Genomic DNA, 26,115 nt, shown 5'->3' with positions numbered 1-26,115 from the left:
GGGCGGCCTAGGCCAATGAGCGGCGGGCTGCGGGGGCGTCACAGACAGCGGCAGAGATCTTGGGCTGAGGTTCCCGGGCGGGCGGGCGCGGAGAGACGCGGGAAGCAGGGGCTGGGCGGGGGTCGCGGCGCCGCAGCTAGCGCAGCCAGCCCGAGGGCCGCCGCCGCCGCCGCCCAGCGCGCTCCGGGGCCGCCGGCCGCAGCCAGCACCCGCCGCGCCGCAGCTCCGGGACCGGCCCCGGCCGCCGCCGCCGCGATGGGCAACGCCGCCGCCGCCAAGAAGGGCAGCGAGCAGGAGAGCGGTGAGTGCCCGGGCTGTGACCCCGATCTTGGCCCTGCGCTGCCAGCCCTGGCCTTGTCCATCATCGCCTGGCCCCTCCCCCTACGGGGCCCCTCATCCTCTCTGCCTACCCCCCAGCGCCCCTTGCCCCGGCCTGTCCAAGGCTGGGGCCCGCGGGCCCGCAGAGTACCCCCTGTAGGGGTCCCCTTCCCCTAGGGCCGCCCCATGCTGCAAAGACCGTGCTCCCCCCCAGCTGTCACTGCCAACCATGGCACGTATGACCGCTGGGGCCCCACATGGGCCCCTGTCACCAGCCTACCCCCTCCTTTCCTGGCCCCTCTTCCCAGATTCTAATCCCCCCACTTCCTCACTCACCTCTCTCACCTATGGGATCCTCTGCCTGACCCCGACCCAGGTTTCTACCAGTTTGGGAATGCGATGAGGTCTGTCTGCCTCCACCGCGCAGGGACCTTGGCCACTTGCTGACCACACCCCTCCCCCCTCCAGCCCCCGCCATCTTTCTCCTGCCCTTTCCCTCTTCACCTTAGCACAGCCCCCCCTTCCAAACCCATCCTGCCCCCTGAACATTTCCCAGAGCCACCTCCAGCATTATTTTTTTCTTCTGTGTCACTTGGCATGGGGGACAGGATCTTTCTGGGTCCCTCTGCCTCTCTCATCCTGTCACTCTGTCATTCTGCTGCTCTGCTTGTGCTCCGTCCTCCAAGCAAGCGTCTGTCCCTGGCTGGGGTAGCAGACTGTTTATGAACGTAGAGAATTGCTTCAGTGCTTCCAAAGCCAAGTTTGAGCTGGTCTTGTTGGGATTCATTGCATCCTCTTTCCTGCGTTGGGGTAAGGGGGTGGTGGCAGAGCCCCCTCTCATTTCCTGTCTTGCAGTGAGCTCTAGGCTCCATGGAGGGCCCCTCAATAAATGGTCGTTTCACAACTGAGGCTCCGTCATTCACCCAGTCCCTGGGGCTTCTTCCACCACTCCTGGCTTGGGATGAAAAGTGTCTGGGTTTAGCGAGGTTCATTCGGTTCTAACTGAGATGGTCAGAAAGAGCACTGGGGAGGAGGAGGCAGTCAAAGAGAGTAATGGGTGACGTCTAGTGATTTGCTTTGACGTCTAGTGATTCTGATCATTCCCAGGGCTCAGCCAGAGAGAGACCTGTTTCACCCACTTGCCCACACATTAGGTTGGTCTTTTCCAGCCAGCCAGAGAAAGAGATTCTCTATCTGGAAATACCATCAGAAATGGTCTTGAACCCCATTCCCAATTTTTACAGCTCTTAAATTGTTGTCACTCCAGTCTGAAAGCTGGAAGGCAGCTGGGATCCCCTGTCCACTTACCCAGAAATAGTCGGAACTATTGGTCGAAAAGGAAGGCCAGTTTTTGGTCTCAAACCCCAGCATCTGAGTTTCCTGAATGCCCCCTCCCAGAAAGGTATGAAAGCCAGGGAACTTTATTCCCATACGGATTCAAATAGCAGAACTCAGAGTCACAGAGCGATCATGAAGAGGCCTGACATGTCACCAATGGGTGGGGGCTGGGGAGGGAAATGCCTGTAGCTGAGTGCCTGATGACAGAGGAGCAGGTGGGTAGTGTCCAAAAAAGGTCTGGGCATGAGCTTGGAGGGGACTTGGCCGGGGGGGGAGGAGTCAGGCCCCCAGCAGGTGAGGCCAGCTGGGAGGTGGAAGGTAGAGGCAGGCAGCTATATATTGCGGTAGCTCAGTTGAAAGTTGGGGAGATGACAGTCCTGGAAAACCTTCAAGGCTATCAGACACATGTGGTGGGGGGTGGAAAGCCACACAAGAAAAAGGATCCCAAGAAAAAGATCAGAGGCTCTGGAAGGAACCACTGATTCTCTCAGAGCACAGGTCAGACACCCAGGAATGAATGATCATGGTAAAATAGAGCTACTATTTATTGGGCATCTAGGCTGTGCCACAGGCTAAATGGCCAGGCGGATAGAGATACCTACTCTGGTGACTTTCATAACGGGCTGTTATCCAAATTTTCCAAAGGAGCCCTCTGGTAGAAATGACATCCATGACATAGATGATGTCACAGAGGCAGGATTCACATCCAGATCCATCTACCAGCAAACTTCTTGGACCCCAGAATTCCCCGACTTTGACATTTTTCAGCAGCCTCCCAGATTTTTACTCTATCATATTTTCTTAATTTAAAATAATAAAAGTTTTACTCACTTGTGTTCAGATGTAAACTTGGAGCTCATTCTAAACAATAATATAAATGAAATCATGGGATTGCCATGCCAGTTATATTTTCTCTGATACGCATTAAATACAGTGTAACTAGATAAATGAAACATCCCGAAAATCATGTCATGTTCTGCCAATGGGACTATGTCACACGTTGAGAAACGCCCGAAGCTGTACTTCCTCCCAGAGGCTCCCAGAGAAGGAAATAAGATGAGGAAGGAAGTCCCTCTTTGCTTTGAGGCGCTCTGATTCTGAGAGGATGGAGTTAGACAAAATTTGCCCTCTTAGAAGGGTGGGGCAGGGGCAGGGGCAGTAGCCAGGCCAGCCTGCAGGGGGCACCTGGATTTCATCTGCCAGACGCCGGCCCGACTGGGGTCAGGAAAATGCCCAGGCCTTGGGAGGCACCAGTTAAGCATCCTGCAGTCCCCTGTGGTACCATCTCTGTGCCAGGGCAGGACAGAGTCCGCCTCCTCCCAAGAGGCCAGGGATCCAGAATGAACCCTGGAGTGGAGTTGGGGGAATCTACACCCAAAGATGGCAAAGCCATTGGGAGAGCTGAGAGGGCCAAGAAAAAAGACTAAGGCCCAGGCTCTGGCCAAGTTGGAAGAATGGAGAGGGAGCAGCGGCCCCAGGGGGCAGGCGCCCAGGTCAGACAGCCAAGTGGGGCTCAGGTCGTGGCTGGCACTGGCTGAAGATACCCCTGGGAGCTGGCCCACAGGGGAAGGGGCAGAGCTAGTAAAAGGGAGCCCCCGATCCCCAGGACACAAGCAGATCCTGGCAAAGAGAGAAAAGCACCCCCCAAGAAGACCCTAGATGGGAAGAACTAGTGCCGTGTAACATCCTATGGATGCCTAAGACGGCCAAACACCTTCTGTGCCTTGGCAGTTGTATGGGTGCCCAAGAGGTCTTATCAAGGCAGCTCTCCCCTTAGCGCAACCGCGTCTACAGAAACTCGGAGGGCCCTATCTGTCCCTCCTCCACACCCAGTGGCCTCTGGGTTGGGTTTCTCTTCCTGCTCCCACCCCACGGCTCCCTAGCTCCCCCTGCAGGCAGGGTTCTGGGGACAGACAGCCGAACAGACACGGCAGGTCTCATGAGCCTTCCCAGCCACCGTAGTGCCGGTGCCCTGAGAACAGGACTGAGTGATGGCTTCCAACTCCAGCGATGGTGAGGCTGAGTCCTGTTACTATAGCAACTTCCTAGGCACACTCTGCCCCTTAAGTCAGGGAGGGGCTGCAGCGGGGTCTGGGGCACAGGCGAAGAGAAGAAGGATGTGAACCCCTGGCTGGCCCTGGAAACGCCTCCTGTACAGCCCCGGGCTGTGCGGCCTGGGGAAGAGAGAGGGGATCGGTGGCCCAGTTCAGACAAGGGAGGATGGTCCACCCGGCAGGGGGCCAGCTCAGAGAGGGGTGGTGGAGTGGTCCATCCCAGTGTTGGGGTTCAGCTCAGACTGTAGGATGAGCCATCCCAGTGTTGGGGTCCAGCTCAGAATGGGGGTCGTTCCAGCCAGTGTTGGGGTCCAGCTCAGAGTTGTGTCATTTAGGTAAGCCCAGAGCAGGGAATCCAGGCTCCACTGGAGGAATCAGCCAGCCTCGAGTAGGGGGCCCAGCCCAGGCTGGGCATTCCTGCCCCAGAATTCCCAGGACAGCCAGATTTCAAAAGGGCAGAAGGTCTGAGATTGTTGTCCGGAGGAAGGGGGTTCTGTGGCTGGGCTCCTTCCGAGAGAGACCCCAAGCCCCTTGCCCAAATTGATATTCTGCTGTTGCAATTCCCCATTCCCAGGGCGAGTTTCTAGATTTCTGCTTTCTGCTGTGGTCCTGGCTTTTCAAGGGGTGTCAAGGAGTTTTCCCTATGAACCCAAATGGAATCTGGACCAGAGTGAGAGCTGGCACCCCCCGTGTGGGAGATGTGGGCAGGGCGGCAGGCTGTACAGGCCAGCAGCTGGCTGGGTTACCATCCTCTGCCACTTCCTGTTGCTAGCAGGGGTCCTGGATGCCGGGCACACTCAAAGAGGCTGCCACTGACCCTCTGCTTCTTTTGGGATCTGGAAAGAAGGAGGAAGATGGTCAAGGCTGCCTCCCCCTCCCCCACCCCTGGGTTTAGCCGCTCGTTTCCGGTTTGGACTTTCATGGCCGAGAGTAGAGCCAAGCACAGGGCAAGGTTTGAGAGAGGCCAAGGACATCCCGGGATGCCTTTCCCCTCTCCACCCCCGCATAGGAGCAAAACAAAAGAGTCAGATATACCCATTTTCTCTCTCAGGATAGCAGGATTTGGGGGTTCCACATTGAAAGGGAGTTCAGGGGAGGAGGCAGGGTGGCTCTTGTCGCCCCCCGCCCCAAGCCTTTCTCTCCAGCTGTTCTTTCAGCGAATTAAGGGAGCTCTGGGGCCTCTTTAGCCCCTAAGGAGTCTCTGGCTGTTGCCTGATCCTGAACCTTAACTCTTTCCCCTCTGCCCAGTGGGCACTGCTCTGGGCACATCAGGCGCTGTCCTCTGCACAGTCCAGTGCCCACTGAGGAAGGCAGGGCCTGGCGTCCTGGGAGCAGTGAAGTCCGTGGAAAGGGAAGTTAGTTTTATCGCCCCGCCCTGGGGCACGCAGGCCAGCCAGAGGGACACCCTCGGGAGAATCTTCCCATTGCCTCCTGCCAAGGGAGCCCTCTGCAAACCTTGGCTAGCTTGGAGCAGGTACCTTTAAAAGCTTCTGTGGCAACCAGCTCCTCCTCCCTGGTCCCCTGAGGCCATCCCAAGGAAGCTGACTTAGAGGCTCTGCGTTTTCCTGGTTTCTCAGCAAAAGGAAGATTCCAGGGAGAGCCCAAGGGGGCTGGGGATGGATCTGGGATCAGGCAGCAGCCAGGGTGGGGACTTGGAGACCACCTTCCAGCTGTGGCTGCAGCTGCTCCTCTGGGCCCACCTGGCTGTACGTTTCCTGGGCTACCTGCACCGCACCTTCCGGGGGCCTAAGCCACAGCCAGCACCCTGAGCCTCCCTGGCCAGGGGGCAGAAGGCCGCCAGATCACCCCATCCCACCCACCCTTTATTCTACCCTTTCCTGGAAGAGACAGGAAGCAGAGGTGAGTGTGGGGCCTCTTGATTGAGGTTACCTGCCCCTCCCCCCCATCATCCCTCTCTCTGCCTGCTCCTCCTGGCACTGGCCTCCCCCATGCCCCATCCCCAAATCTGACAAGCTAACAGGGCTAGTGGCACCAGAGGGGACAGAGCCTGGGCGCTCTGGTCCTTTGAGAGGCCAGAGAAGGGCCATGCTAACAGCAAGGCACCCTGTGGAGCGACTCTGTGGGGCACCAGCGGACAGCCAGGGGCTGGGAGCTCAGCGAGTCGGGGAGGTGCAGGATTCAGCAATTCTTTCCTTTTTGCTAAGAGCAAAGGGAAAACGGACCAGACCTTTTGGATTCCCTTCAAGCCTGGCACCTCTCTGCCTTCTTGTGTGGGTGAAGGTAGAATCCCAAGAGGGCACCCTCCACCCTCCCCACCCACTGCTGAATTCTGTGTGGATTATTTGGAGGTTTCCAAGGAAGATGTTTTCTGTCACAAAGGTTCTATGACTGAAGCCAGGCACAGTGGCTCATGCCCGTAATCCCAGCACTTTGGGAGACTAAGGTGGGGGAATCCATTGAGGCCAGAAGTTGGAGACCAGCCTGGGCAACATAGCAAGACCCCATCTCAAAACAAAATAAAACACTCAAACAAAGGTTCTGCTAGTGAAAGTGTTGGATTTGGTGTGACCCCCAGGCTCAGGCCCCTGGGCTAGTTGGTGGCCCAGCCAGGCACCCATCTAGGACTCCTGGCCATTCATTGCCTATCCCCTCTCCGCCTGGTCATTTATTGTGGGGCCTTCTTGGCCACGGTCTCTCTCCATCTGCCATCTACCACTTTCTTTTTTTTTTTTTTGAGACAGAGTTTCACTCTTGTTGTCCAGGCTGGAGTGCAATGGCGCGATCTGAGCCCACTGCAACCTCTGCCTCCCGGGTTCAAGCAATTCTCCTGCCTCAGCCTCCTGAGTAGCTGGGATTACAGGCATGTGCCACCACGCCCAGCTAATTTTGTATTTTTAGTAGAGACAGGGTTTCTCCATGTTGGTCAGGCTGGTCTCAAACTCCCAACCTCAGGTGATCTGCCTGTCTCAGCCTCCCAAAGTGCTGGGATTACAGGCGTGAGCCACTGCACCCAGCCACCATCTACCACTTTCTAGCTCCATGAGGGCTCTTCTCTCTGAATGCTGAGGGAAAGCTCTGGAGACAGGTAGTGGGGGTGGCTCCCCACAAGGCCATGTGGGATTACTGGCAGGCAGATAACCAGCAATGCCAAAGGGCAAGTGTACAGGGCCCCTCGGTGGCAGCAAACCCAGGAACATCAGGGGGTTGAAGGCAGCTCTGTCCACATTGGCCACCCTGGTGCACTGGACTCAGCACTGAAACCAATGGCTGAGTTGGCAGTGAAGTAGTTAATCTCATGGGATGTGGGGGCAGGCAAGTGACCTCAGACCTGATCAGTCTTCTCCTCTGTACAGTGGGAATAACAGCAGCTCCCACCCCACAGGGTGAGAACGAAGCATAGAAAATACTCAGCAAGGGGCTGGTCCCTTGTAGCCCTAGGTGGTGGTTAAAAGGACAAGTCCATAATGCAAGAATCTGTCAGGCTGCGCATTTAAGATTTGAGCACTCAGTGTATCTCCTATATTTGTTTTTGGGGTTTTTTTATTATTACTTTTTTTTTTGAGACAGGGCCTCACTCTGTCACCCAGCCTGCAGTGTAATGGCTCAGTCACGGCTCACTGCAGGCTCTATGTCCCGGGCTTGAACAATCCTCCCACCTCTGCCTCCTGAGTAGCTGGGACTACAGGTGCATACCACCACACCTGGCTAATGTTTTTATTTTTTGTAGAGGGTTTTGATGTTGTCCAGGCTGGTCTCGAATTCCTGTATTCAAGCAATCCCCCCAACTCGGCCTCCCAGAGTATTATTATTTTTTTGAGAAAGAGTCTCACTCTTGCTCAGGCTGGAGTGTAGTGGTGTGATCATAGCTCACTGCAACCTCAATCTCCTGGGCTTTAAGCAATCTTCCTGCCTCAGCCTCCTGCTTAGCTGAAACTGCGGGCATGGGCCACTATGCTCAGCTAATTTTTTAATTGTTTTATTTTTTGTAGAGATTGGGTCTTGCTATGTTGCCAAGGCTGGTCTCTAATTCCAGGCCTCAAGCGATCCTCCAACCTCGGCCTTCTAAAGCACTGGGATTACAGGCATGAGCCACCGTTCCCGGCTCTCCCTATGTGTGTGTGTGTGTGTGTGTATATATATATATATATATATATATATATATATATTTTTTTTTTTTTTTTTTTTTTTTTTTTTGAGACAGAGTCTCACTCTGTCGCCTAGGCTGGAGTGCAGTGGCATGATCTCAGCTCACTGTAACCTCTGCCTCCCAAGTTCAAGAGATTTTCCTGCCCCAGCCTCCCAAATAGCTGGGATTACAGGCATGCGCCACCGTGCCCAGCTAATTTTTGTATTTTTAGTAGAGACGGGGTTTCACCATGTTGGCCAGGCTGGTTTCAAACTCCTGACCTCAAGTGATCTGCCTGCCTCGGCCTCCCAAAGTGCTGGGATTATAGACGTGAGCCACCATGCCCGATCGCTCCCCATATTTTCTTTTCTTTTTTCTTTTTTTTTTCTTAGACGAGTCTTGCTCTGTCACCCAGGCTGGAGTGCAGTGGTGCAATCTCGGCTCACTGCAACCTCAGTCTCCCGGATTCAAGCAATTCTCCTGCCTCAGCCTCCCAGGTAGCTAGGATTACAGGCACACATCACCACCACGCCTGGCTAATTTTTTTGTTTTGTTTTGGAGACAGAGTCTCGCCCCGTCGCCTAGGCTGGAGTGCAATGGCATGATCTCAGCTCACTGCAACTTCTGCCTCCCGGGTCGAAGCGATTCTCCTGCCACCATGCCCGGCTGATTTTTTTGTACTTTTAGTAGAAACGGGGTTTTACCATGTTGACCACGCTGGTCTTGAACTCCTGACCTCAAGTGATCTACCCGCCTTGGCCTCCCAAAGTGCTGGGATTATAGGTGTGACCCACCGTGCCTGGCCTCATTTTTTTATTTTTAGTAGAGATGGGGTTTCGCCATGTTGGCCAGGCTGGTCTCGAACTCCTGACCTTGTGATCCACCCACCTTGGCCTCCCAGAGTGCTGGGATTACAGACGTCAGCCACCTCACCCAGCCTCTCTCCCCATATTTTATACCTCAATTTAGAAAATAATAGGCTGGGCACGGTGGCTCATGCCTGTAATCCCAGCACTTTGGGAGGCCAAGGTGGGCAGATCACCTGAGGTCAGGAGTTCGAGACCAGCCTAGCCAACATGGCAAAACCCTGTCTCTACTAAACATACCAAAATTAGCTGGGCGTGGTGGCAGGTGTCTGTAATCCCAGCTACTCAGGAGGCTGAGGCAGGAGAATCATCTGAACCTGGGAGGCGGAGGTTGCAGTGAGCTGAGATTGTGCCACTGCACTCCAGCCTGGGCAACAAAGTGGGACTCCATCTCAAAAAAAAAAATAATAATAATTAAAAAAAATAAATTGGCCGGGCATGGTGGCTCACGCCTGTAATCCCAGCACTTTGGGAGGCCGAGGCGGGTGGATCACGAGGTCAGGAGATCGAGACCATCCTGGCTAACACGGTGAAACCCCGTCTCCACTAAAAAAAATACAAAAAATTCTCTGGGCGTGGTGGCAGGCGTCTGTAGTCCCAGCTACTCAGGAGGCTGAGGCAGGAGAATGGCGTGAGCACGGGAGGCGGAGCTTGCAGTGAGCGGAGATTGCGCCACTGCATTCCAGCCTGGGCGACAGAGGGAGACTCCGTCTCAATCAATCAATCAATCAATCAGTCAATAGATAGATAAATAAAAAATAATAATAGCTGACATTTATCTGGCACTATCATCACACGGGGCCACTGTTCAACTCCCTTTGTCAAGATGAACTCATTCATTCCTCAAAACCACCCCACTTTACAGATGAGGAAAACTGAGGCCTAGAGAGGTGAGATCAGTTACCCAAAGTCACAGAGTTCATCAGAGACCAGGCTGGGCTCTGAACTGGATCTTGACCCCAAGTCCTGGCCCTTAGCCACTTTGCTGGGCTGTGTCTCAGCAGAGACGAGAATGACTGTTTTCAAGCCTGTTTCCTGGGTTGTTAAGTGGAGACAATGGATACAAGGCAGGTTGCCGAGTGAGTCAGATGAGACAGTGTAGACAGCAGCCGGCACAGGGTCTGCCGGGGAAGTTTCAACATTAGCCAGGCGGTGATGTTCACCTTGGGATACCATGGGGCCGAGGAGTGGGCATCGGGCGAGACTTCCCTTGAACCAGCTCTGGAGCAATGCCCTTGCGATTGCCACGGAGAGGAACAGGGCCAGCTGGGGGCCAAGGTGACAGCTGAGCCCCCCAAGGGCACCTGCTACCCGAGCCCCCGAGGCCTCCATCCCAGGCCCGGCCTCCCCAGAGAAGGGGCCAGAGGAACAGCCAAATCCCAAGGCTATAAATACCTCGGCTGGCGTCGGCCCTGGCCATGGAATGTCGGTCAGAACTGGGGCGAGTGGGGGTGGGCTGGTCTGCCTGGGCACCTCCCTCCGTTCCCCTGCGAGTGACCCCTGAGACTCTCTGTACCCCACTTTGGATGGAGTGGCAGCTGGATCCCACCTCTCTGTAGCAAGGGAGGCCCAGGCCACGGCCCAGCCAAGGCCCCAGAGGCACCAGAAAAAGGTCAGGCTCTGGGTTGGAACTGCACCCCACTTTCCACCAAGTATCTCCCCAGAAATCACCTGAACCCACCCCGGTGAGACGGGCGTCTCTGTATAACTCTCCCCTCTCTCCCTTTCAGTGAAAGAATTCTTAGCCAAAGCCAAAGAAGATTTTCTTAAAAAATGGGAAAGTCCCGCTCAGGTAAGGCTGCCGGGTGCAGAGCCCAGGGAGGGGTGAGCTGCTAACCCCCAGCCCCTGGCTGTGTCCCAGCAACACAGCTAGAATTTCAGAAACCCCATAGAAGGCTTCAGACCCTCCCCATTTGCTCCCTAGGTGCCCATGGGGGCTCCTGTGTGGAGACACCTGACTGCCCAATGCCAGGCACCCCCATCCCACCACCCCTCCCAACGGCCCGCCCCTGCCCCCAGCACAGCTGCCAGCAGCTTCCAGGCCCCAGGCCAGGGCCGGATCTGGCCCCTGCCACCCGCCTTAAGGAATGTGCCCTCTGCCATCTTGATTTTCCGCCCCCTGTCCTCACCCCGCTGACCCCACGTGCTCCCCGGGGCCCCCTCTGCCGGTGGCAGAGGGGATGCCCCAGACCTTAGCCAAGCAGGCCGCGGGGAGGGCGTGCCCTGAGCCTACCGACCCCTCTGCCCACAGAACACAGCCCACTTGGATCAGTTTGAACGAATCAAGACCCTCGGCACGGGCTCCTTCGGGCGGGTGATGCTGGTGAAACACAAGGAGACCGGGAACCACTATGCCATGAAGATCCTCGACAAACAGAAGGTGAGGTGGCCTGTCCTCGCTCAGGGCCTGCCTGTCAGGCCTTTGCCTGGACTGTGCCCACTCCTTAGAGTGCCCTATCCACCCGTTCACTCACTTGCTTTTTTTTGATTCAGAGTCTCGCTCTGTCGCTCAGGCTGGAGTACAGTGGCGTGATCTCGGCTCACTGCAACCTCCACCTCCCTAGTTCAAGCGATTCTCCTGCCTCAGCCTCCCGAGTAGCTGGGATTACAGGCGCCTGCCACCACACCCAGCTAATTTTTGTATTTTTAGTAGAGATGGGTTTTCGCCATGTTGGCCAGGATGGTTTCGAATTCCTGACCTCAGGTGATACACCTGCCTCAGCCTCCCAAAGTGCTGGGATTACAGGCGTGAGCCACCGCGCCTGGCCGCTTGGTTTTTTTGTGGGGGACAGGATCCTGCTCTGTTGCCCAAGCAGGAAAGTGCAGTGACGTGATCATAGCTCACTGTAGCCTCAAACTCCTGAGCTCAAGAGATCCTCCTGAGTAGCTGGGACTACAAGCGCACACTACCATGCCTGGCTAATTTTTTTTTGTTGTTTGTTTGTTTTTTGTTTTAGACAGGGGGTCTTGCTGTGTTGCCCAGGCTGGTCTTGAACTCCTGGCCTCAAGTGATCTCCTACTTCAGCCTCCCAAAGCACAGGGATTACAGGCATGAGCCACCATGCCAGGCTCACCCACTATTCCCCGAGCCCCCATAATGTGCCAGCCCCAGGGGTCAGAAGGGCCCTGTGCCGCCTTCCCAAAGCTCCCTCTCCAGGCCGGCCATGGATTCAAAGCCAGGCACTGTGACACAGGGTCAGACACCAGCCCAACAGGAGGAGAACAAGAGCACTCTTGGGGGAAGTGGTGTTTATGTGCACTTTCTTCCCGTAAATATTTTTGTGATCGGACTTTATACCAGGCACTGCTATAAAGCAGCAATGTAACTAGCAGAAATGTAACCTGAGCCACAGAAGCAATTTTAAATTTTCTGTTTGCTCCATCATAAACAGTAAAAACAGCCAAGCACGGTGGCGCACGCCTGTAGTCCCAGCTACTAGACAGGCTGAGGTGGGAGGATCACTTGAACCCAGGAGTTCAACTCCAGCCTCGACAACACAGCCAGACCCCATCTCTAAAAAAACACCCAAAGTTTGTAATTAAAAGAGAAAATGAAAGAAACAGGTGTCATTCATGAAATTCATTTTAATGACATGTTTGGGGCTTTTTTTTATGTTTTTTTTTTTTTGAGACAGAGTCTCACTCTTGTCGCCCAGGCTGGACTGCAGTGGCGTGATCTCAGCTCACTGCAACCTCCACCTCCCAGGTTCAAGTGATTCTCCTGCCTCAGCTTCCCAAGTAGCTGGGATTATGGGTGCCACCACCACGCCCAGCTAACTTTTGTATTTTTAGTAGACTTGGGGTTTCACCATGTTGGTCAGGTTGGTCTCGAACTCCTGACCTCAGGTAATCCGCCCGCCTCAGCCTTCCAAAGTGCTGGGATTACAGATGTGAGCCACCACACCTGGCCTAATGATATGTTTTAATTAAGCCAGTATATCTACAGTATTACCCTTTCCATATATTATCAATGTGAAAATATCATTAATGAAACATTTTACATTCCTTTTGTTTTTTTCCCAGTCCTCCATGACTTCGGAAATATTTCCTTTTTTTCTGTACTGAAGTATCTTTAAAATCCAGTGTCTATTGTATGCTTACAACAGTTCTCAACTCTGATGGTAAATTTTTCCTGGAAAGATAAGAAAAAGCAGGGAAGTTGAAAAAGCAGATTCACATGCCCAAGTTGTTCCAACCATGCCTGAAAGTCACCAGTACCTGCATCAAGAGTTTAATTTTTGTTTTGTTTTGTTTTGTTTTGTTTTTGAGATGGAGTTTCGCTCTTGTTGCCCAGGCTGGAGTGCAATGGCATGATCTCAGCTCACTACAACCTCTGCCTCCGGGTTTCAAGCGATTCTTGTGCTCCAGCCTCCTGAGTAGCTGGAATTACAGGCGCCGGCTACCACGCCCAGCTAATTTTTTAATTTTTTTTTTTTTTTTTTTTGAGATGGAGTCTCGCTCTGTCGCTCAGGCTGGAGTGCAGTGGCACGATCTTGGCTCACTGCAACCTCTGCCTCCCGGGTTCACGCCATTCTTCTGCCTCAGCCTCCTGAGTAGCTGGGACTACAGGCGCCCACCACCACGCCTGGCTAATTTTTTGTATTTTTAGTAGAGATGGGGTTTCACCGTGTTAGCCAGGATGGTCTCCATCTCCTGACCTTGTAATCCACCGGCCTCGGCCTCCCAAAGTGCTGGGATTACAGGCGTGAGCCACCACACCTGGCCAGTTTTTAAATATTTTTAGTAGAGACAGGGTTTCACCATTTTGGCCTGGCTGGTTGTTGTTTTTTTTTTTTTTTTTTTGAGACGGAGTCTCGCTCTGCCACCCAGGCTGGACTGCAGTGGTGTGATCTCAGCTCACTGCCAGCTCCACCTCCCGGGTTCATGCCATTCTCCTGCCTCAGCCTCCCGAGTAGCAGGGACTACAGGCGCCCGCCACCACACCCGGCTAATTTTTTGTGTTTTTAGTAGAGACGGGGTTTCACCATGTTAGCCAGGATGGTCTCGATCTCCTGACCTCGTGATCCACCTGCCTCGGCCTCTCAAAGTGCTGGGATTACAGGCGTGAGCCACCGTACCCGGCCTGGTTGTTTTGTTTTTGAGACAGGGTCTTGCTCTGTTGCCCAGGCTGAAGTGCAGTTGGGCTCAAATGATCCTCCCACCTCAGCCTCTGGAGCTGCTGGGACCATAGTCGTGCCATGCCCAGCTAATTGCTTTTGTTGTCCTTGTTGTTGTTTGTAGAGATGGGGTCTCGCTACATTGCCCAGGCTAGTCTCAAACTCCTGGGCTCAAGCGATTTACCTGCCTGGGCCTCCCAAAGTGCTGGGATTACGGGCGTGAGCCACCATGCCCAGCTGGTGTCAGTTTTTTAATTTATATTTTAGATACTTAAAATTTTTGAATTTGGCTCCCCATCCGACCAGCCATATTTCAAGGGCCCAGCATCCCCCTGTGGCTAATGGGGACTGAACTGGGTAGGGCAGGTATAGACTCTGAGGACACAGCTATGTGAGCAAAGCAGTTGACAGCTGACTGAGGGACCAGGCTGGCCACATGTTACACACCAGCCTGACATCAGCCAGCTGTGTGACCTTGGACAAGTCACCTCCCCTCTGTGTCTGGTCTTCCAAACTGGCGTACTCCCAGCATGGGCCTCTAGGGCTTCTATCCTGATTCAGTGAGAGACTGGGTGCCAGGTGCCTGCTCATGGCATCTGCTATTAGGGGACAGCTGATGGCTGAGGAGCTGTTAGCCTGAGGTTCAGGTTGCTGTGTGGAGTGTTCTAGACAAGGGTAAGGCAGGTCCTAAACCCCCCACCTCTTGGGCTTCTCCTGCCTGTCTTTTCAATTTCAGTTCAGCTGCCCCTTCCTCCAGAAAGCGCTGTCTGATTCCCCCTTCCCCAGACCACGCCAGGTACTTTACATGGGCTTCTTGGGGGCTGCTTCTCCACAACCCCAAGATACCCTCCACCACGGCTCTGACCTCTGTGGGGGTAACCCATGTATTCTTTGCCCTGGACTTAGTGCCGTGCAAGGACAAGCAGCCCCTAGCCTCCCTGATGCTGTGTCCTCAGCATCAGCTAAGGGCCCGACAGGCCACAGGCACACAAATGATTCTGGCTGAAGGAACCGGCCTGGCTCCGGCATCCCTAGTTCCAGGCATTAGGGGAAATGAGGCCCCTCTCACCTCCCCCTCCTTTCTGCCCTCCCCTCCTTCCCTTCCCAGGTGGTGAAACTGAAACAGATCGAACACACCCTGAATGAAAAGCGCATCCTGCAAGCTGTCAACTTTCCGTTCCTCGTCAAACTCGAGTTCTCCTTCAAGGTGGGGTCCCAGTGGCCAAGGGCGGGGGGTCACTGCATTGGGTCCCAGCCTTCTGGCCCCCAGGGCTGGGGTCGGAGCTGAGGACAATCAGTGGCTGCTCTCTTTTGTGGAAGAACAAGATCCCTGGAGGAGGGAGATCAGGGGACAGGAGTCAGGCTGGGACTCTGGTAGACCCAAGTTCAGTTCCTGGTCCAGCCAGTTTGTAGTTCGATACCCTTGGTGAGTCACCCAACCTCAGTAACATCCCTCAAAAGCAGCACCTGGTTTATGGTAAGAGCCTGACCCAGGAGCACAAACTCTGCCCCAGGCAGCCGGGGTTCATTTCCCAGTTCAGTACTTCTTGATGTGTGGCCCCGGGCAAGAGACTTATCTCCCCAAGCCTCAGCTTTCTCATGGTAAAATGGGGATCATACCAGTTCCAGCCTGGTGGGGTTGTCATGACAGTTCCAGGCACGTCTTGAGCGCCCTTTGGGAGCCGTTTTGGGTGCCATCCAAAGCTGTGGTCATGAGAAACAGGAAAGGCCACTCAGGGCCAGCTTCATGGACGTTTGACCCAGAGAAGCACAAGGGCCTGTTCTCCGAGGGACCCCACACCTGGTTTAACGCTTTGCTGCTGCTGCTGTCTTGAGATCCGTAATAATTTTTTTTTGTTGAGACAGAGTCTCACTCTGTTGCTCAGGCTGGAGAGCAGTGGCGCAATCTTGGCTCACTACAACCTCTGCCTCCTGGGTTCAAGCAATTCTCCTGCCTCAGCCTCCTGAGTAGCGGGGATTACAGGTGCCCACCACCATGCCCAGCTTATGTTTGTATTTTTAGTAGAGACAGGATTTTGCCATGTTGCTCAGGCTGGTCTTGAACTCCTGACCTCAAGTGATCTGCCTGCCTTGGCCTCCCAAAGTGCTGGGATTACAGGCATGAGCCACTGTGCCAAGCCTAATTTTTATTTTTTTTATTGAGACAGAGTTTGGCTGTTGTTGCCCAGGCTGGAGTGCAATGATGCGATCTCAGCTCACCACAACCTCTGACTCCTGGGTTCAAGCAATTCTTCTGCCTCAGCCTCCCGAGTAGCTGGGATTACAGGCATGTGCCATCACATCTGGCTAATTTTGTATTTTTTAGTAGAGACAGGGTTTCCCCATGTTGGTCAGGCTGGTCTTGAACTCCTGACCTCAGGTGATCTGCCTGCCTCGACCTCCCAAAGTGCTGGGATTGCAGGTGTGAGCCGTGCCCGGCCATTTTGTTTTGTTTTGTTTAAGATAAGGTCTTACCCTGTTGCCCAGGCTGGAGTGCAGTGGCGCAATTACAGCTCACAACCTTTGCCTCCCAGGCTCAAGCAATCCTCCCACCTCAGTCTCCTGAGTATGAGACTACAGGTGCACGCCATGATGCCCAGCTAATTTTTGTATTTTTGCAGAGACGGGGTCTCACTATGTTGCCCAGGCTGGTCTCAAACTCCTAGGCTCAAGTGATCCACCCACCTTGGCCTCCCAAAGTACTGGGATTATACAGGCATGAGCCACCACACCCGACCCTCTGTAATAATTTTTTAACCAGGGGCCATCTTTTTTATTCTGGGCCCCACTAATTCTGCAGCCTATCATGATCCCATTTTACAGATGACAAAACTGTGGCCTCAGAGCCTTACTCAAGCTCCCAGAGCAAGGTACTACAGAGTTCTCTCTCCAGCCAAGGCAGGCTAACCAGGTCCTGACATACCTCTGAGCCAGCCCTCACTTTCACCCATTAACAGCAGGATAAGGGTCGCCCCTGTAGAACATGATTCCTACAGGGAGCCAGGATCGCTGTTGTCATTTAATGTTTGAACACCAGCCGGGGAGGCCCCCAAGGCCTTCAGATCGGGTCCAAGTCTCAGGGGTGGGCCCTTGACCAGCCACTGCTTCCCACAGGACAACTCAAACTTATACATGGTCATGGAGTACGTGCCCGGCGGGGAGATGTTCTCACACCTACGGCGGATCGGAAGGTTCAGGTAAGCGGGCCACCCCCCATCACATCAGGCTGTCAGGGTGTCCACAGGTGGCAGTGCACGACCAAGCCCCCTGGGAATGCAGAGGAGTCCAGCATACTTCAACATGCAGGTGGTCTCCCAGACCCTGTGGGTTTCTGTTTCCCCTCTGCTGAGGAATATGTGATATTTCAACCACCACAAAACAAAACAGAGCAAACAGGGCAACTTAGGTGTCCAAACTGAAGTTGCTGCCAGGCACGGTGGTTCTCACCAGTAATCCCAGCACTTTGGGAGGCCAAGGTGGGCAGATCACCTGAGGTCAGGAGTTTGAGACCAGCCTGGCCAACATGGCAAAACCCTGTCTCCACTAAAAATACAAAACTGAGCTGGGCATGGTGGTGGGCACCTGTAATCCCAGCTACTTGGGAGGCTGAGGCAGGAGAATCACTTGAACCCAGGAGACAGAGGTTGCAGTGAGCCAAGATCACACCACTGTACTCCAGCCTGGGTGAGAGAGTGACATGCCGTCTCAAAAAAAAAAATTGAAGTTGTTGATTTTGTGCATTTTTTGAGCCCCAAAAGGTGGCATGCATCTGTAGTCCCACTAGTCCTGAGGCTGAGGTGAGAAGATCATTTGAGCTCAAGAATTTGAGACCAGCCTGGGCTGCATAGTGAGGTTTTGTCTCTTTTAAAAAAAAAAAATTGGCTGGGCGCAGTGGCTCGTGCCTGTAATCCTAGAACTTTGGGAGGCCGAGGCGGGCGGATCACGAGGTCAGGAGATCAAGACCATCCTGGTTAACATGGTGAAACCCCGTCTCTACTAAAAAAATACAAAAAAATTAGCCGGGTGTGATGGCGGGCGCCTATAGTCCCAGCTACTCGGGAGGCTGAGGCAGAATGGCGTGAACCCGGGAGGCGGAGTTTGCAGTGAGCCGAGATCGCGCCACTGCACTTCCAGCCTGGGTGACAGAGCGAGACTCCGTCTCAAAAAAATAAAATAAAAATTATACTATTATTTTATTTTATATAGGTGGACAGTTTTATATGTGTAGATTTTAATATATATTTTTATACATAAAATAAATCTATATACAGAAATTTGTAAGTTTAAGATACAGGCTGGGTACTGTGGCTCATGCCCTATAATCCCACTTGGGGAGGCCAAGGTGGGCAGATTGCTAGAGCCCAGGAATTTGAGACCAGCCTTACATAGCAAGACCCCATCTCTACAAAAAAATACAAAAAAAAAAAAAAAAAGTCAGGTGTGGTGGCACATTCCTGTAGTCCCAGCTCCTGGGGAGGCTGAGGTGGGAAGATCACCTGAGTCTGGGAGGTCAAGACTGCATGAGCCCACCTTCATCCCTAGGATGCAAGGCTGGTTCAACATATGCAAAAAAAAAAAAAGACTGCATAAGCCGTGATCACGCTGCTGCAGTCCAGACTGGGTTGTAACCCAGTCAGACCCTGCTGAAAGAAAAAAAAAATTTTTAACTTATAAATTTGTCTTATTAACTTATAAGTTTACATACGTAGTTTTATTTGATTTTATTTTTTGAGACAGAGTTTCACTCTTGTCACCCAGGCTGGAGTGCAGTGGCACGATCTCGGCTCCATGCAAACTCTGCCTCCCGGGTTCAAGTGATTCTCTTGTCTCAGCCTCCCAAGTAGCTGGGACTACAGGTGCATGCCCCCTTGCCTGGCTAATTTTTGTATTTTTAGTAGAGATGGGGTTTCACCATGTTGGCCAGGCTGGTCTCGAACTCCTGACCTCAGGTGATCCGCCCCCCCCGCCTTGGCCTCTCAAGATGCTGGGATTACAGGCATGGGCCACCGCGCTGGCCTTGTAGTTGTATTTTAGATAGATAACTATAGATTCACTTTACATACAACAAAATGCACAGTTCTTCAATGTTCCATGCTACAAGTTTTGACAGTTGTATATAGCTACCTAACCTCCACCCAAAACAGTATATGGAACTTTTCTATCACCTAAGAAAATTCCCTTGAATCCCTTTTTTTTTTTTTTTTTTTTCCAATAACATACAGAGGTGGAGGCCGGGTGCCATGGCTCACGCCTGTAATCCCAGCACTTTGGGAGGCCGAGGCGGGCGAATCACAAGGTCAGGAGTTCGAGACCAGCCTGACCAACATGGTGAAACCCCGTCTCTACTAAAAATATAAAAATTAGCCGGGCGTGGTGGTGCACACCTGTAATCCCAGCTACTCAGGAGGCTGAGGCAAGAGAATCACTTGTTTCCAGGAGGCAAAGGTTGCAGTGAGCCGAGATTATGCCATTGCACTCCAGCCTGGGCAAGAGAGCGAGACTGTCTTAAAAAAAATAAATTAATCAAAAAAAAATATATATATATATATACACACACACACACATATCTACATACATACAGAGGTGAGGTCTTGCCTATATTGCCCAGGCTGGTCTCGAACTCCTGGGCTCAAGCGATCTTCCCACCTCGACCCCCCAAAATGCTGGGATTACAGGGGTGAGCCACCGCACCGGGCCGAATCCCTCTCTTGACACGTCACCTCCCCACCAAAGGCAGTTGTCCTTTCTGACTTCAAACACCGTGCCTTTGTTTTGTCTGGGCGTGGACATGATATAAATGGAATCATTCATGTTCTTTTGTGTCTTCTTTTGCTTAACATAATCAGTTTGAAATGCAGCCACATTGTTGAGTGGATGCATGGGCTGTCCTGTTGGCGGTGGTGGTGGTGAGTGGAATTCCATTGTATGACTATAGCTCAGTCTGTGATTCCATTTTCCTGTGGATGGACCCACAGGCTGTTTCCCATGTCGGGCTATCTAAGAATCAGGTGCCTTGCGTTTCTGACGGCTGGACTGGAGGTGTCTTCCTCTGGGGTAGGCTCTGCAGGGCCACCTGCTGGACCATTTTGGGGCATGACCACTGACGTTCACCTCCCCATTTGTCCCCATCAGTGAGCCCCATGCCCGTTTCTACGCGGCCCAGATCGTCCTGACCTTTGAGTATCTGCACTCGCTGGATCTCATCTACAGGGACCTGAAGCCGGAGAATCTGCTCATTGACCAGCAGGGCTACATTCAGGTGCCCACCAGGCCGGGCGAGGGGCAGCCCTGGGGAAGCCGTGGCCTGGACCCTTCCTCCCTGCCAACTGCCTGTTCTTGTGCCCACAGGTGACAGACTTCGGTTTCGCCAAGCGCGTGAAGGGCCGCACTTGGACCTTGTGCGGCACCCCTGAGTACCTGGCCCCTGAGATTATCCTGAGCAAAGTAGGAGCCTCCCCAGCCCTCCCCTTCCCCTGAGGCCGGCTCTGCTCTCCTGCTCTCGCCTCCTCCTCACCCTGTGCCCCCCCATCTTGCTCCAGGGCTACAACAAGGCCGTGGACTGGTGGGCCCTGGGGGTTCTTATCTATGAAATGGCCGCTGGCTACCCGCCCTTCTTCGCAGACCAGCCCATCCAGATCTATGAGAAGATCGTCTCTGGGAAGGTGAGGTCCGGATGTGGGGACACAGCCCTGGAAGAAACAGACCGTTCCCTGCTCACCCATCCTATTCCCTGGGGAGCCCTGCTTGTTGTCAGAATAATCTAGAAGTTCCTTAAGTCAGGCCAGGTGGTGAAGCTGGACGCGCCGGCCACACTGAGGCCAACACCTCAAGCCCCCTTGCTGTCCAGCCCCAACCCCGCGGTTCCAGAATCCCATGGGCTTCCAAAATCCCGAGCCTCACGGGAACATCTTGGCCACAGAACACAAACCGCCCTGCCAGACGACCCTCCTTTTCGCTCCTCATCCCAGTTAGTGTGAGTTTTCGCAAATTCCAAGGCAGAAAAACGAATGTATTTGGTTCCTGTTCCCAGGTGCTGTCCATAGCCTCACCCAGGATTGCCCTCACTTAGCATTTATAGCCCATGCTTCCTCTCCCAAACCCAGACTTGCCTAACTCTGAGGGTTCAGATGAGGGGTGGTGAAGCCATCTCAGCTCACATCTATGACAGGTGCAAAGTGCCCACCATCCACCAGGCCCCAGAATCCCCATCAGTCACACCCTGAGATAGTGGCACCCTCTGTAGGAGAGGTGAGGAAACAGGCTGGGAAAAGGGATGTGTCTTGGCCAAGATCACACTTTGGTGAGTAGGTAATCACCGTAGGCAATCATTGTAGGCACTGATGGCCGGAGAGAGGTTGGGGACCCCACCTCTGCCCTCAGCTCAACCACCTTGCTGGGAAGACCCGACCATCCCCCGACTTGGTCCAGCATCTCCTACACAGGAGCTTTTGGTTGGCCCGGAGTCATGACACTGTGGTGGGAGCACCCTCAGGCTCAGCCTGGGCCCCAGTCCCAGCTCTGCCACCGACTGGCTTTGAAACTTTGGGGCTGGGTACAATGGCTCACACCTGTAATGCCAGCACCTTGGGAAGTGGAGGCTTGAGGCCAGGAGTTCCAGACCAGCCTGGGCAACATAGCCAGACCCCATCTCTAAAAAAAAAAAAAAAAAAACAAACTGGCCGGGCGCGGTGGCTTACACCTGTAATCCCAGCACTGTGGGAAGCCAAGGCGGGCAGATCACCTGAGGTCGGGAGTTCGAGACCAGCCTGACTAACATGGTGAAACTCCGTCTCTACTAAAAACACACACAAAAAAAATTAGCTGGGTATAGTGGTGGGCGCCTGTAATCCCAGCTACTTGGGAGGCTGAGGCAGGAGAATCACTTGAACCCAGGAGGCGGAGGTTGCAGTGAGCCAAGATCACACCATTGTACTCCAGCCTGGGCAACAGGGCAGGACTCTGTCTCAAAAAAAAAAAAAAAAAAAAAAAACTAAAAATTAGCTGGGCGTGATGGTGCACCCCTGTGTTCCCAGCTCATCGGGAGGGTGAGGCAGGAGGATCGCTTGAGCCCAGAAGTGAGCTGTGAGCTGTGATTGCATCACTGCAGTCTAGCCTGGGTCACAGAGCCAGACCCTGTCTTTTAAAAAAATTCAGGCAAGTGGGGTGCCCCAGCTGGACACATAGCATCACTAAAAGAGAAAGATGAAGGCCAGGCGCGGTGGCTCACACCTATAATCCCAGCATTTTGGGAGGCCAAGGCAGGTGGATCACGAGGTCAGGAGTTCAAGACCAGCCTGGCTAACATGGTGAAACCCTGTCTCTACTAAAAATACAAAAATTAGCTGGGCGTGGTGGCGGGTGCCTGTAATCCCAGCTACTCGGGAGGCTGAGGCAGAGAACTGCTTGAACCCGGGAGACAGAGGTTGTAGTGAGCCGAGATTGCGCCACTGCACTTCAGCCTGGGTGACAGAGCAAGACTCTGTCTCAAAAAAAGGGAAAGATGAGGCATCTGCCACCGGACCAAAAGAAACTGCCAAGAAAATGGCCCAGAGTTGGCCGGGTGTGGTGGCTCACGCCTGTAATCCCAGCACTTTGGGAGGCCGAGGCGGGCGGATCACGAGGTCAGGAGTTTAAGACCAGCCTGACCAACATGGTGAAACCCCGTCTCTACTAAAAATACAAAAATTAGCCGGATATGGTGGCACACACCTGTAATCCCAGCTACTCAGGAGTCTGAGGCAGGAGAATCACTTGAAACCGGGAGGCAGAGGTTGCAGTGAGCTGAGATTGTGCCACTGCACTCCAGCCTGGGCAACAGAGCAAGACTCCATCTCAAAAAAAAAAAAGAAAAAAAGAAAAAAAAATGTCCCAGAGTGGGAAAAAAAAGAAAGAAAAAAACACAGAAGATCCCACAGGAGAAGATGCACATGACTCCCTTCTTTGTAGCATTTTCTAGTTCCCCCGCACCGTCAGTGGTATTATCTCCCTCGTGCAGCCCTGGCATATCTGCCCCACATCTGAGAGGCATGCGCAGGCCCAGAGAGGTTAAGGGCCATGGCCAAGGTCACACAGCGTGTAAGAGGCACAGCAGGAACAAGAAGTCGTTTCTTGCAACTATAACTCCAGTGATGACTTGCATACAAGGCGTGGGCTCAGAGGGTTTGGGGAAAACTTTCAAGAAGAGTTGAGCTGGGCTTTAAAGAACGGAAGAGCCTTAGCTATGCAGAAAGAGAGGAGAGAAAAAGTTTGTCATAAGCAAGAATATTTCAGAAGTCTCCAGACCCCAGCAGAGATGCCTTAAGCAGCAGCAGCAGCAGCTGAGAATGCAAGTTCTAGAGTCCAGTAGACCTGAGATGGAATTGCCCCATCACACACCTCAATGTGACCTAGGAAGAGCTGTTTAACCCAAGCCTCAGTTTCCCCTTCTCTGAAATGGAAATCATCATAGCACTTGCCTTAGAGCAATGGTTCTTAAAAGGGACCCCTTTCCAGCAGCACCATTGCTGGGGAATTTGTTAGAAATGCAGATTCTTGGGCCAGGCACGGTGGCTCACACCTGTAATCCCAACACTTTGGGAGGCCAAGGCAGGTGGATCACCTAAGGTCAAGAGTTCAAGACCAGCCTGACCAATATGGTGAAACCCCGTCTCTACTAAAAATACAAAAATTAGCCAGGTGTCTTGGCGTGAGCCTGTAATCCCAGCTACTCAGGAGGCTGAGACAGGAGAATTCCTTGAACCCAGGAGGCGGAGGTTGCAGTGAGCCCAGATCGCACCACTGCACTCCAGCCTGGGCTACAGAGTGAGGCTATTTTTTTTTTTTTTTTTTTTTTTTTTTCAAAAAAAGAAATGCAGATTCTTGCTGGGTGTGGTGGCTCACGCCTATAATCCTAGCACTTTGGGAGGCCAAAGCAGGAGGATCGCTTGAGCCTAGAAGTTCAAGACCAGCCTGGGCAACGTAGTGAGACCCTGTCTCTACAAAAACTTCTTAAAATAACTAACTCTTGAATTTTTAAAGTTTTTAAAGAAATGCAGATTCTCAGGCCACAGTATCAGACTTCCTAAATTGGAAACTGTAGGGTAGGCTCAAGGAGCTGTTTTACAAGATGCTGGCAGGCACTCTGCTTTGGAGGCCCACACCCAGTAGGACCGTTGGATGGAGAAAGAAGCATCATGGGCTTCCCAAGTTCCAGACCAGCTTCCCACCCTGTCCTTGTACCCCTTCCTCCAGGTGCGCTTCCCTTCCCACTTCAGCTCTGACTTGAAGGACCTGCTGCGGAACCTCCTGCAGGTAGATCTCACCAAGCGCTTTGGGAACCTCAAGAATGGGGTCAACGATATCAAGAACCACAAGTGGTTTGCCACAACTGACTGGATTGCCATCTACCAGAGGAAGGTGGGCCTCCCCTCCTTAAGCCTGCTGAGGGTTTGGGAGCAGGCCAAGAGTCAGGGAGGACAGCCAATAGAGAAATAGAGAAGAGAACACAGGTTCAGGAGCAACCTAGAGTAGAGAGCTTAGAGCAGTGGGGTCTAGAAATGGGATTCTGGGGTCATTTGGCCATTCCATGACCTTGTGCAACAGATGCCTCTCTCTGGGAAGTAATTTCCCCTTTGATGAGTTGCTACATTAAGAGTTTCGGGCTGTTAAGAGGAATCCATAACCTAATGGTAAGCACAGGCCTGAGTCAGAGTAAATATCTCTTGAATGTTAGGCCATTCGCATTTATTGTTGTAATAATGATTATGTTGAATGCTGAGGTCTGGGTGATTCTTGATCCCTCTCCAGGTGGAAGCTCCCTTCATACCAAAGTTTAAAGGCCCTGGGGATACGAGTAACTTTGACGACTATGAGGAAGAAGAAATCCGGGTCTCCATCAATGAGAAGTGTGGCAAGGAGTTTTCTGAGTTTTAGGGGCATGCCTGTGCCCCCATGGGTTTTCTTTTTTCTTTTTTCTTTTTTTTGGTCGGGGGGGTGGGAGGGTTGGATTGAACAGCCAGAGGGCCCCAGAGTTCCTTGCATCTAATTTCACCCCCACCCCACCCTCCAGGGTTAGGGGGAGCAGGAAGCCCAGATAATCAGAGGGACAGAAACACCAGCTGCTCCCCCTCATCCCCTTCACCCTCCTGCCCCCTCTCCCACTTTTCCCTTCCTCTTTCCCCACAGCCCCCCAGCCCCTCAGCCCTCCCAGCCCACTTCTGCCTGTTTTAAACGAGTTTCTCAACTCCAGTCAGACCAGGTCTTGCTGGTGTATCCAGGGACAGGGTATGGAAAGAGGGGCTCACGCTTAACTCCAGCCCCCACCCACACCCCCATCCCACCCAACCACAGGCCCCACTTGCTAAGGGCAAATGAACGAAGCGCCAACCTTCCTTTCGGAGTAATCCTGCCTGGGAAGGAGAGATTTTTAGTGACATGTTCAGTGGGTTGCTTGCTAGAATTTTTTTAAAAAAACAACAATTTAAAATCTTATTTAAGTTCCACCAGTGCCTCCCTCCCTCCTTCCTCTACTCCCACCCCTCCCATGTCCCCCCATTCCTCAAATCCATTTTAAAGAGAAGCAGACTGACTTTGGAAAGGGAGGCGCTGGGGTTTGAACCTCCCCGCTGCTAATCTCCCCTGGGCCCCTCCCCGGGGAATCCTCTCTGCCAATCCTGCGAGGGTCTAGGCCCCTTTAGGAAGCCTCCGCTCTCTTTTTCCCCAACAGACCTGTCTTCACCCTTGGGCTTTGAAAGCCAGACAAAGCAGCTGCCCCTCTCCCTGCCAAAGAGGAGTCATCCCCCAAAAAGACAGAGGGGGAGCCCCAAGCCCAAGTCTTTCCTCCCAGCAGCGTTTCCCCCCAACTCCTTAATTTTATTCTCCGCTAGATTTTAACGTCCAGCCTTCCCTCAGCTGAGTGGGGAGGGCATCCCTGCAAAAGGGAACAGAAGAGGCCAAGTCCCCCCAAGCCACGGCCCGGGGTTCAAGGCTAGAGCTGCTGGGGAGGGGCTGCCTGTTTTACTCACCCACCAGCTTCCGCCTCCCCCATCCTGGGCGCCCCTCCTCCAGCTTAGCTGTCAGCTGTCCATCACCTCTCCCCCACTTTCTCATTTGTGCTTTTTTCTCTCGTAATAGAAAAGTGGGGAGCCGCTGGGGAGCCACCCCATTCATCCCCGTATTTCCCCCTCTCATAACTTCTCCCCATCCCAGGAGGAGTTCTCAGGCCTGGGGTGGGGCCCCGGGTGGGTGCGGGGGCGATTCAACCTGTGTGCTGCGAAGGACGAGACTTCCTCTTGAACAGTGTGCTGTTGTAAACATATTTGAAAACTATTACCAATAAAGTTTTGTTTAAAAAAAAA

General features: G+C 53.1%; 2 protein-coding genes across 4 annotated transcripts, besides 4 other annotated features; both read left to right on the top strand.

Annotated features, from left to right (window-relative positions):
- PRKACA (protein kinase cAMP-activated catalytic subunit alpha) lies at positions 41-26,115 on the top strand. 3 transcript variants are annotated; one of them, NM_002730.4, is made up of 10 exons: positions 41-301; positions 10,394-10,455; positions 10,915-11,043; positions 14,889-14,987; positions 16,895-16,977; positions 19,913-20,039; positions 20,129-20,224; positions 20,320-20,442; positions 24,011-24,175; positions 24,566-26,115. In NM_002730.4, exons 1-10 carry the CDS (start codon positions 256-258, stop codon positions 24,689-24,691), a joined length of 1,056 nt encoding a protein of 351 aa, NP_002721.1. In that variant the 5' UTR covers positions 41-255; the 3' UTR covers positions 24,692-26,115. The 3 variants fall into 3 exon arrangements, with proteins under 3 accessions (NP_002721.1, NP_997401.1, NP_001291278.1); NM_207518.3 differs by lacking the exon at positions 41-301 and adding an exon at positions 3,612-3,669; NM_001304349.2 differs by lacking the exon at positions 41-301 and adding an exon at positions 9,413-10,092.
- Positions 391-460: a silencer, noted in NCBI's record as "silent region_10233". NCBI's record gives its function as "represses an Ori minimal core promoter by ATAC-STARR-seq in GM12878 lymphoblastoid cells {active_cell/tissue: GM12878}" and the evidence as "EXISTENCE:reporter gene assay evidence [ECO:0000049][PMID:35858748]".
- Positions 4,185-4,872: an enhancer, noted in NCBI's record as "H3K27ac-H3K4me1 hESC enhancer chr19:14223743-14224430 (GRCh37/hg19 assembly coordinates)". NCBI's record gives its function as "activates a minimal SCP1, AML or CMV promoter by ChIP-STARR-seq in primed H9 embryonic stem cells {active_cell/tissue: H9 hESC(primed)}" and the evidence as "EXISTENCE:reporter gene assay evidence [ECO:0000049][PMID:30033119]".
- Positions 5,327-5,479, top strand: SMIM46 (small integral membrane protein 46). The gene has a single exon (NM_001414411.1). The coding sequence runs from the start codon at positions 5,327-5,329 to the stop codon at positions 5,477-5,479; it is 153 nt and encodes a 50-aa protein (NP_001401340.1).
- Positions 9,512-9,806: a silencer, noted in NCBI's record as "tiled region #14201; K562 Repressive non-DNase unmatched - State 23:Low". NCBI's record gives its function as "represses a minimal TATA promoter and a strong SV40 promoter by Sharpr-MPRA in K562 cells {active_cell/tissue: K562}" and the evidence as "EXISTENCE:reporter gene assay evidence [ECO:0000049][PMID:27701403]".
- Positions 22,959-23,159: a silencer, noted in NCBI's record as "peak3379 fragment used in MPRA reporter construct". NCBI's record gives its function as "represses an SCP1 promoter by STARR-seq MPRAs in K562 erythroleukemia cells {active_cell/tissue: K562}" and the evidence as "EXISTENCE:reporter gene assay evidence [ECO:0000049][PMID:32103011]".

Source organism: Homo sapiens, chromosome 19, assembly GCF_000001405.40.
Source record: "Homo sapiens chromosome 19, GRCh38.p14 Primary Assembly".
NCBI lineage: Eukaryota > Metazoa > Chordata > Mammalia > Primates > Hominidae > Homo > Homo sapiens.
Note: the sequence above shows the minus strand (reverse complement) of the source record. Positions and strands in the feature narration are given on the sequence as shown.